General features: G+C 42.7%; 2 annotated features.

Annotated features, from left to right (window-relative positions):
• Positions 4,645 to 5,622: an enhancer, noted in NCBI's record as "OCT4-NANOG-H3K27ac-H3K4me1 hESC enhancer chrX:113283103-113284080 (GRCh37/hg19 assembly coordinates)". NCBI's record gives its function as "activates a minimal SCP1, AML or CMV promoter by ChIP-STARR-seq in primed H9 embryonic stem cells {active_cell/tissue: H9 hESC(primed)}" and the evidence as "EXISTENCE:reporter gene assay evidence [ECO:0000049][PMID:30033119]".
• Positions 6,597 to 7,424: an enhancer, noted in NCBI's record as "OCT4-NANOG-H3K27ac-H3K4me1 hESC enhancer chrX:113281309-113282134 (GRCh37/hg19 assembly coordinates)". NCBI's record gives its function as "activates a minimal SCP1, AML or CMV promoter by ChIP-STARR-seq in naive and primed H9 embryonic stem cells {active_cell/tissue: H9 hESC(naive and primed)}" and the evidence as "EXISTENCE:reporter gene assay evidence [ECO:0000049][PMID:30033119]".

Below are 10,981 nucleotides of genomic sequence, written 5' to 3'. Positions count from 1 at the left end.
AAACGAAATAGTGGTAAAGTGTTGGGACGGTGAAAATTTTTTGGGGTGGTATGGAGAGATAATTGGCGATGTTTCTCAGGGCTGCTTTGAGCGGGATTAGGGGCAGTTTGGGAACTTAGAGTGGGAGAGATTAAGCTGAAGGAAGATTTTGTGGTAAGGGGTGATATTGTGGGGTTGTTAGAAGAAACATTTGTCATGTAGAATTATTGGTGATGGCCTGGATACGGTTTTGTATGGATTGAAAAACTAAACGGAATAAGAGAAGGAGAAATACAGGTATTAAAGGACTAAGAATTGGGAGAATTTAGGACATCTAATTAGAGAGTGCTTAAAGAGGTTCAGCATAGCCTTGCCAGGAAAGATTATTTATTTACTTTAAGAGTTAAGAGTGGCGGTTTGGGGATAGCACCAGGAGATATCAGCTGTAATGGCTTGGAGAAACAGTGTAAACCGGCAGTGTAAACAAGAGCAGGGCATGTATGAGTAGTTGAGAACGGTGAATAGGAGTATGACTAGATAGAAGATAGAAGGGATGACAAGTTTTTTGGGGCACAGTCTAAGTTTGTCTGGTATTTGGGATGAGACTGGGGCCTAATAAAAAGGAGCATCTATACAGGAGCTTAAATGGGCTGTACTTCGTAGCATTCTGAGGACAGGCCTGAATTCTGAGAAGGGAAAGTGGTATAAGTATTGTCTAGTCTTTTTTAAGTTGGTGGCTGAGCTTGGTGAGGTGTGTTTTTAAAAGACTTTTAGTCCATTCTACTTTTCCTGAAGACTGAGGACTGTAAAGGGATATAAAGGTTTCACTGAATACTAAGAGCCTGAAAAAGTGCTTGGCTGATTTGACTAATAAAGGCTGGTCTGTTATCAGACTGTAGAGAGGTGGGAAGGCTAAACTGAGGAATTGTGTCTGACAGAAGGGAAGAAATGACTGTGGTGGCCTTCTCAGACCTTGTAGGAAAGGCCTCTACTTATCTAATGAAAGTGTCTACTTAGACTAAGAGGTATTTTAGTTATCTGACTCAGGGTATGTTGAGTAAAGCTAATTTGCCAGTCCTGGGCGGGGGCAAATCTTTGAGCTTGATGTGTAGGGAAGGGAGGGGGCCTGAATAATCCTTGAGAAGTAGTAGAATAGCAAATTTGCCAGCCTTGGGCAGGGGCAAATCTTTGAGCTTGATGTTTAGGGAAGGGAGGGGGCCTGAATAATCCTTCAGAAGTAGTAGAATAGCAGATGGAACACTGAGAAGTTATTTCTTTGAGGATAGATTTCTACGATGGAAAGGAAATGAGAGGTTTTAAGAGGTGGGCTAGTGGCTTGTACTGTAGCATAGCCTGCCTTTGCTGGTGTGTGGCGATTAGTCCTGGTGGAACCGCCATCAATAAACTAAGTGTGATCAGGGTGAGGAACAGGAAAGGAGGAAATATGGGGAAATGGGGTGAACGTCAGGTGGATCAGAGAGATGCAGTCATGAGGGTCAGGTGTGGTATCTGGAATAATGTGGGAGGCTGGACTGAAGTCTGGGCCAGGAACAATGGTAATTGTGGGAGACTTAACAAAGAGTGAGTATAGCTGAAGGAGCTGGGGAGCAGAAAGTATATGTGTCAGGTGTGAGGAAGAAAATAGATTTTGGAAGTTATGAGAAATGTAGAGAGTGAGTTGAGTATAGTTTGTGATTTTTAGAGCCTCTAAAAGTATTAAGGCGGCAGCAGCTGCTGCATGGAGACATGATGGCCAGCCTAAAACAGTAAAGTCAAGTTGTTTGGACAAAGGCTACAGGACATGATCTTGGTCCTAGTGTAAGAATTCTGACTGCACAGCCTTGCACTTCAGCTGTGTGTAATGAAAAGGGTTGGGATGAGTCAGGGAGAGCTAGGGTGGGGGCAGTCTCTAAAGCTGTCTTCAAGGAATGGAAAGAGGAGTGGGGAAAGGATTTAGGATCTATGGGGTTAGCTAGGTTTCTTTTTGTGAGTTTATATAATGGTTTTGTTAGGATGGTAAAACTAGGTATCTAAAGGCGAAAGTATCTAACTATGCCTAGGAAGGAAAGGAGTTGTTGTTTTGTAGAAGGGATTGAGGTTTGGGAGATTAGTCGGACACGATCAGCAGGGAGAGCACATGTGTTTTTACGAGAATTATGCTGAGATGGGTAACAGATGAGGAAGAAATTTGGGCTTGACTGAAGTAATGGGGGCTGTCTGTGAAGCTTTGCGGCAGTACAGCCCAGGTAATTTGCTGAGCCTGATTGGTGTCAGAGTCAGTCTAAGTGAAAGCGAAGAGAGGCTGGGATGAAGGGTGCAAAGGAATAGTAAAGAAAGCATGTTTGAGATCTAGAACAGAATAATGGATTGTGGAGGGAGGTATTGAGGATAGGAGAGTATATGGGTTTGGCACCACGGGCTGGATAGGCAAAACAATTTGGTTGATAAGGCACAGATCTTGAACTAACTTGTAAGTCTTGTCTGGTTTTAGGACAGGTAAAATGGGGGAATTGTAAGAGTTTATAGGCTTTAAAAGGCCATGCTGTAACAGGCGAGTGATAACGGACTTTAATCCTTTTAAAGCGTGCTGTGGGATGGGATATTGGCATTGAGCGAGGTAAGGGTGATTAGGTTTCAATGAGATGGTAAGGGGTGCATGATCGGTCACTAAGGAGGGAGTAGAGGTATCTTATACTTGTGGGTTAAGGTGGGGGGATACAACAGGAGGATGCAAAGGAGGCTTTGGATTGGGAAGAAGGGCGGCAATGAGATGCAGCTGTAGTCCGGGAATAGTCAGGGAAGCAGATAATTTAGTTAAAGTGTCTCAGCCTAATAAGGGAACTGGGCAGGTGGGGATAACTAAAAGGAGTGTTTAAAAGAGTATTGTCTAAGTTGGCAGCAGAGTTGGGGAGTTTTAAGAGGTTTAGAAGCCTGGCCGTCAATACCCGCAACAGTTATGGAGGCAAGGGAAACAGGCCCTTGAAAAGAAGGTAATGTGGAGTGGGTAGCCTCCGTATTGATTAAGAAGGGGAAGGACTTACCTTCCACTGTGAGAGTTACTTAAAGCTTGGCGTCTGTGATGGTCTACAGGGCTTCTGAGGTGATCGGGCAGCGTCAGTCTTCAGCTGCTAAGCCGAGAAGATCTGGGAAGGAGTCAGTCAGAGAGCCTTGGGCCAGAGTTCCAGGGGCTCTGGGAGTGGCTGCCAGGTGAGTTGAACAGTCCGATTTCTAGTGGGGTCCTGCACAGATGGGACGCGGCTTAGGAGGAATCCTGGGCTGCGGGCATTCCTTGGCCTGGTGGCCAGATTTCTGGCACTTGTAGCAAGCTCCTGGGGGAGGCGGTTCTGGAGGAACGCCTGGCCACTGTGGTTTAGGCATTTGGAAGTTCTTGTGTGCTGGAGATGTGGCTGGGGTTTGTCTCACAGTGGAGGCAAGGAATTGCAACTTTTTTCTATTATTGTACACCTTGAAGGCGAGGTTAATTAAATCCTGTTGTGGGGTTTGAGGACTGGAATTTAATTTTTGGAGTTTTATTTAATGTCGGGAGCAGATTGGGTAATAAAATGTATATTGAGAATAAGATGGCCTTTTGACCTTTTAGGGTCTAGGGCTGTAAAGCGTCTCAGGGTTGCTGCCGAACAAGTCATGAACTGGGCTGGGTTTTTATATTTGATGAAAAAGAGCCTAAACGCTTCTGATTTGGGATAAAGAAAAAGAAGCATTAACCTTGACTATGCCTTTAGCTCCAGCCACCTTTTTAAGAGTAAATTGCTGGGCAGGAGGGGGAGGGCTAGTCACAGAACGAAACTGTAAGCCGGACCAGGTGTGAGGAGGGGAGGTGATAAAAGGATTATAGGGTGGAGGAGCGGAGGCTGAGTAAGAATTGGGACTTAGCTCGGCCTGGTGAGGAGGGGAGAGTTCAGATAGGTCTGTAGAAAAGGAAGATTAGAAAGACTTAACGACGCTTGGGGTTGGTACTGAGGGGACAGGCGGGAGGGAAAGAAGGAAGATTTGGGATAAGTTGTATTGGGAACAGAGACTAGGGAGGGCCTGATGTGTAAAAGAATGCCTGGACGTCAGGCACCTCAAACCATTTGCCTATTTTACGACAAGAATTATTTAGATATTGTAGGATGGAAAAATTGAAAGTGCCGTTTTCTGGCTATTTGGAACTACTGTTGAGTTTGTATTGGGGTCAAGCGGCATTTCAGAAGAAAATAAGACGCATAGATTTTAGGTCAGGTGAGAGTTGAAGAGGTTTTAAGTTCTTAAGAACATAGGCTAAGGGAGAAGAAGGAGGAATGGAGGTGGAAGCTTGCCTATAGTGAAGGAGGCAAGCCCAGAGAAAAGAGAGTAGAGACACGGAGAAGGGGTCGGGGGGCGGCGGGGGGGGTTCTTGCCTTCCAGAAAAGCAGAGAAGGGGTTGGGGTGCAGAGATAAGAGGTCGGGGCGTGGAAATAAGGGATCAGGGCGCAGAGATAAGAGGTCCGGGCGCAGAAATAAGGGATCGGGGCATAGGGATAAGAGGTCAGGGTTCTTGCCTCTCCTCCAGAAAAGCGGGACTTGCCGCTAAGGGTGAAGGAGAAGGGGTTGAGGGGTTCTTGCCTTTCCTTTATAAAAGCGGGACTTGCCGCTAAGGGTGAAGTACCAAGGCAGGCATCCTTGCGTGGTCTGACACCTCTGAAACCTGAGTAAATAATCAGAGAGGCGTTCCTGTAATGATTAAACACCAAGGGAAGGCTGCCTTCCCTAGTCCGTGACCAGTGCCAGAGTTTTGAGTCCATGGATAAAACGTGTCTCCTTTGTCTCTACTAGAAAATGAAAGGAATTGAAATTAAGAGAAGGGAGAGATTGAAGGGTGGCACCAAGATTGAAAGGAGAAAGAGGTTGAGGGATAGTGAGGGAGGTTGGAGAAGGGAGTAAAAAGAGGCCGCTTACTGGATTTGAAATTGGTGAGATGTTTCTTGGGCTGGTCGGTCTGAGGACCTGAGGTCGTAGGTGGATCTTTCTCACGGAGCAAAGAGCAGGAGGACAGGGGATTGATCTCCTAAGGGAGGTCCCCCGATTCGAGTCACGGCACCAAATTTCACTCGTGTCCGTGTGAAGAGACCACCAAACAGGCTTTGTGTGAGCAACAAGGCTGTTTATTTCACCTGGGTGCAGGCAGGCTGAGTCTGAAAAGAGAGCGAAGGGAGATGGGGTGGGGCCGTTTTATAGGATTTAGGAAGGTAAAGGAAAAAGGGGGGTTGTTCTCTGATGGGCAGGAGTGGGGGTCACAGGGTGCTCAGTAGGGGAGCTTTTGAGCCAGGATGAGCCAGGAGAAGGAATTTCACAAGGTGACGTCATCAGTTAAGGCAGGAACAGGCCATTTTCACTGCTTTTGTGGTGGAATGTCATCAATTAAGGCAGGAACCGGCCATCTGGATGTGTATGTGCAGGTCACAGGGGATATGATGGCTTAGCTTGGGCTCAGAGGCCTGACAGCTATGTCCTAGATCTTGGAATGTTTTCACGTTGATTTTATTGCACAAACTGATAGTCTTTCCCGATTACATCTCTGATAATGCATTTTAAATCATTTAATAACATTTTACACCTTTAGACATTTTAAAACAAAGGGTTTAGACATTTTTAAACTGTTACCATTAACTCTGATTGATACAATTGAGAGTCAGAAGAAAGTAAGCCATATATCAAGCAATACAATCATTATCATTGAATCAAAAACAACCCAATTGCAACAGGTGTATTAGCTCTACAATTGTTCTCGAAATAATAAATAATTTACTGTGTTATTTTCAAATATATCGATGGCCTAAATGTGGAAAAATGTAATTCCCAGAAAACAGAAAAACAACTCAGCAAAGATCCCATTTCAACTACCAAGGCTTATCCCCCATGCTTACATGATTATTTTGCATATTAAGGAGATTTTCACTAAGCTTACTTGATAGTTAAAGTTCTCCAAACAAAATGAAATGCTAGATTGAATTAACAATAGATTATTTCTTCTTAATTAACAGTACAAATAGAATATGTCTTCTGACTAGAGTTAATAAAGACTTCTGACTAGAGTTAATAAAGACAAGATGACTCATATTAAAACAATGGTACTAAATATTAAACACTTATTTTATTTCTCTCAACCTCCAATCACGAGCCCCCAGTTAAATGCATTAAGGAATTTTATTTATTTATTTATTTATTTATTTATTTATTTATTTATTTATTTATTTTGAGACGGAGTCTCGCTCTGTCCCCAGGCTGGAGTGCAGTGGCGTGATCTCGGCTCATGGCAAGCTCCACCTCCCGGGTTGATGCCATTCTCCTGCCTCAGTAGCTGGGACTACAGGCGCCTGCCACCACGCCTGGCTAATTTTTTGTATTTTTAGTAGAGACAGGGTTTCACTGTGTTAGCCAGGATGGTCTTGATCTCCTGACCTCATGCTCCGCCTGCCTCAGCCTCCCAAAGTGCTGGGATTACAGGCGTGAGCCCCCGCGCCCATCCCGCATTAAGGAATTTTAAGGGCATCAAACTTATTTCACCAGGGTAGATAAATAAGATATATTTATAATCTCAGGTATGAAAGACTATAGCCAAATATTTTTATAATAATAAGCTCAGATAGACTTGGAAATTGAAGCGATAGTCTCAGAAAAAAAAAATTATGGGGCCAAGGAAAAGCTTCCCCTCTGCCTTTTGAAGGGTAGCTGAAAATAAACAGATTAATAGGAAAAAAAAAGTCATACTAAATTAACTTAACATCCATAGCATGGAGAAATTGCGAGAGAATGATTACCGAATAACCCAATGTGGTACAGTTGCTTGTATACCTTTCATAGAAGAGAGGGGAAATGGGGAATGTAGGCAATTCTTTTGAGGAGTAGTAAATAGTCATTAAAGAGAATGAATAGAGCCAGGATACATAAATTTACTTGTAAATGGTTCCGTTTAGAATTTGAATGAGCCAGAGAGGCAGACATTATCTTGCAGAAAAAGTCAGTTCTTGTGGTTGCATTCCTCAGTCTTCCTTCTTAAGATAGATAATGAGATGTGAGCAAGAGGAAGGCAATTGTGGTTTTTTTTTTTTGAAGGGTCCAGTTTTAAGGCAGGTGAGGGAATATCAGAGTAAAGCCTCATTCTGTGCTTTGGGAGAGACAGAAGGCTGAGAAACAGGAGGTTGGGGAGGGAGTGGTCAGAGATACCTTAAGGCTTCCTCAGTTCAGCATATTAAGTGCCATATTTTAGGATATCATTTTCTGAGCCTCAACACAGTTTAGAAATAATTGGAAACTTACAACACTCCTACCATTAAGATTTTGGGCCTAATTTCCTTTTCATTGACTGACATAACTAATAGAAGCTGGCAGAAGTGAAATTCTGGGATTTTTCAGCTTTTATTTTTTAAGATGTGTTTTCTGGTCCCTTTTCTCTTTCTTTTCCTTCCACAACTCCTATGATGCAATGGATTGTTCTCTTGGTGGTATCCTGTTCAGGCTTTCTCCATAACTTTTTTAGTTCATTCCTTTTATTTATTATCTCTAGGATTTTTGTCTGGTGGTTTTTTATTTCTACTTCTTTGTCAAACTTCATGTACTATTTTCCAAATTTCAATAAATTTTTTTCCGCATATTTTTGTAGTTCACTGTACTTCTTTATGTGTATCAATCTGAATTTTTATTTATTTATTTTTTTTTTTTTTACCATTTTATAGATCTCCATTTTTCTGGAGTCCATGATTAGAGATTTATTCATATTTTTTGGAGGTGTCATGATTCCTTGATTCTCCATAATCTCAGTGTCCTTTCATCGTTGTTTGTGTATTTGAGGAGTCAGCCCCCTCTTCTGGCCCTTATAGATAGTCTTTGGCAGAGATAGGCCTTCACTGTTTAGTCTAGCCTGTGATTCTAGAAGAACAAACTGGTTTTTTCCATGCAGTTGGCTGGGCCACTGCCTTTACTCTGATGTCAAATGGGGCTGCTGGATGGGCTGCACTGTCCGGTAGGACCACTGGCTGGGCTCTGTTATCAGGTGGAGATACTAGCTGGGTATAGCAATGTCTTCTACTCAGGCTGGTCATAACGTGTATTTCCTGTCTGGGCAATTCCACTATTTGGGACCTACAGTTGGGCAGGTCTGCAGGCTGGGCTCCAAGATTAAGTAGAGATGCTGTTTGAGATGTGTGAGACCAAGGGCTATGCCCCTTAGAACTGCCACATGATTGAGGATTGCCTCCCTGTCAGTGTGGAGTCATGGGGTGGGCTTTTGGCTGAGGCGAGTGGCTGTTTGACCTCCCAAGTCAAGCTGGTCCAGCCCCCTTGCCTCTTCAGAATGCATGGAGGTGGAAGTCTACCTTCCGGGACAGGGTTGTTGAGTGAACTTTTTGGCTAAATGAATCTGCTGCTTGACTTCCCAGGTCAAGTTGATCTAACCTTTTTCTTTCCCCAAAATGTGCAGAAGTAGGAGTCTTCCTTCCTGGGCAAGGTCATTGGTTGGGCTCATTGGCTGAGTGGAGCTGCTGCTTGACTTGGCAGGTTAAGCCAGCCTAGTCCTTTAAATTCTCCAAAATGAACAGAGGTGGGAGTCTCTTTGCCTGGGTGGGGTCATTAGGGTAGGCTCTGAGGCTGGGTATGGAGACTAGTAATCTAGGTACTCAAACTAGGTTAAACTTCCCACTGTGCTTCTGAAGGCAACCAAACCGGCTCAGCCTTGCAGGTGGGCTATGAGGTTGGCTAGTGTCTATGATCTGGTGCCACAGTTGGCAGGAACATGAAGGTACTACCAAGATTTGTGTGCTGGTCACGATCTCTGGCTCTTTTCTCTGTTTCTACCTGATCTTGGGTGGTTTAAGTGTGCTGTTTACCCTAGTGTTTTCAGTGAGGTGAGACAAATCAGCTTCCTGGGAAGCATATCAAAGTGCTAGGGATGCCAGATGACTGCCTCCCATTCTGTTTTCCCCTGTATAAACTGTGGGCCCAGGGAAATCCTCTCTGTCCAACACTGTACTGACTTGAGGTTGTGGAGGGGTGGGGCATCAAGGTCAGAGTAAGATCATTCTTTCTATCTTTTGCATTTGGCTTTTATTCTGTTCTGTGGACCACACGGGTTTCTCAGGCTTGCTTTCATGTACTGAGTTTTCAAAAGGATGCTCTAGTCTTTGGATAGTTGATAATTGAATTTTCTGTGAGGAGGAGTGGATCTTGAGACTTCCTTACAGGGGTGAGGAATATGGTGTGAGAATTTCTCCAGTTTTCCTACTGGTTTCAATGTGGGTGGTTTTGCACTCACTCACAGTGCAGGAGCCTCTCAACTATCTTCTGCATTTCCCACAAAGAGAATTGATCTGTGTATTACTGTTGAATCATTGTATCCTTGGGGCAAGAAGAGTCTAGGGCTTTTTTTTTCATCATCTTGTCGAGGGCACTCCTAGGAACACCTACTGTTGAAGGCCTGCTTTTCTACTTATGTAAGGAATCTGCTTATTTATGATTACACTGCTGTAAATATCATGTGAAGATGCATTTGAACCACAGAAGAGAGATTCCTACCAGAGTGCAGTCTTCTAGATGTCACTGCCAAGGCATCAGGCAAGTGAACGAAGCTGTCTTGGATCCTCCAGACTTGCTCAGCCATCAGCTGAATGCCACTGAATGGCCCCAATTGACACCATGTGTAGTAGATAATTCACTCAGTTAAGCACTTGAGAATTCCTAACTAAAAAAAAAAAAAACCTTAGCTATAAGAAAGGGTTATTCTTTAGCCACCATGTTTTGGGGTAGTTTGTGTCAACAACAGCAGACAGAGGCTGAGACTTTACACTACTTGTAAACTGACAGAATGAGAGAAGACCTGGGTCAGAGACAAAGGACTTTGTTACTCACAGAAAAAGGAGTCCTCAGAGCTTCATATTGATTCATACAGGATCTCCATGCCACCCATGTCCCACTACGGCAACCCAAAGGGCCCATGGTAGATGCCTATATATGCAGTGGATTTTTTTTTTTTTCCAGGAGAGTAATACTGAGCTTTGAAATGTTAACACTTTTATAGAAAGCAGAAGTGAGCGTGCTCTTTGTTTGGAAGGAGATGATTCCTCATCCTTAGAGTTTCTTTGTGCAAATGCAGCCCCAAGAAATGGTCCAGGTAGAGAGTGATGAAAGCTTTGCAATTTTATATACCCAGTGAGAAATGTGCATAGATGGACATGGTGGATTTTTTTCCCCAACAGATTATTAAAACAGCACGCTTCATTTTCAGTTAAACATTTATCATTGTAAAACAAGAGCATCACCTGCTCCCTGGGTAATGAGAAGTAAATTAAGTACAGTTATTTGTGTGGAATCTCATAGGAAAAATAAATATTGCATGATAGAGATTTCCTATTTGTTTGCAAAATTTTCGGTCTCATGTTTAAATAAACCAAAACACCCTTCTCATTCATGGCGGGCTTCATTTTTGCTTCCCTTTTCCTCCTGTTAACATTTATACTAAACTAGTGCTCTTTAATATGCTCTTAGTTTCATAATGGGGTTAATGGAGTGTGTGAATGCCCTGAAATTGTGCATAAAATATTATGTATATCCATCTATACATTTCTTTCCTGGGAGAGATAATACATAGTTCTTATCAGATTTTCAAAGAAATATTTGATCTAGCAAGGCTAAAAATAGTAAAGATATAGAAGAATTCACTATTTTGTGATTATCCAACCAAGAGATTTATCTTTAAAGCCATAAAAATGCCTCATTCACTATCTGTAATAAAAACAAACTGAATTTCAAATCTTGAACTTTGGTAAAATAGTAATAGTATTTCTAAGAGAATACAATCGATGTGTTTTCTCTAGACTATATTAGGTTGGTGCAAATGTAATTGAGGTTTTTGCCATTGAAAGTAATGGCAAAACAATGTGATTACTTTTGCACCAACTTAATAGCAAACCATTCCAAATTTACTGGATATCATATTTTGTCTTTTCAATATAATTCTTCATAGAATTAA

This window comes from Homo sapiens, chromosome X (assembly GCF_000001405.40).
Source record: "Homo sapiens chromosome X, GRCh38.p14 Primary Assembly".
Classification (NCBI taxonomy): Eukaryota; Metazoa; Chordata; class Mammalia; order Primates; family Hominidae; genus Homo; species Homo sapiens.
The sequence above is the reverse complement of the archived record's forward strand: the minus strand, read 5'-3'. Positions and strand labels throughout refer to the sequence as shown.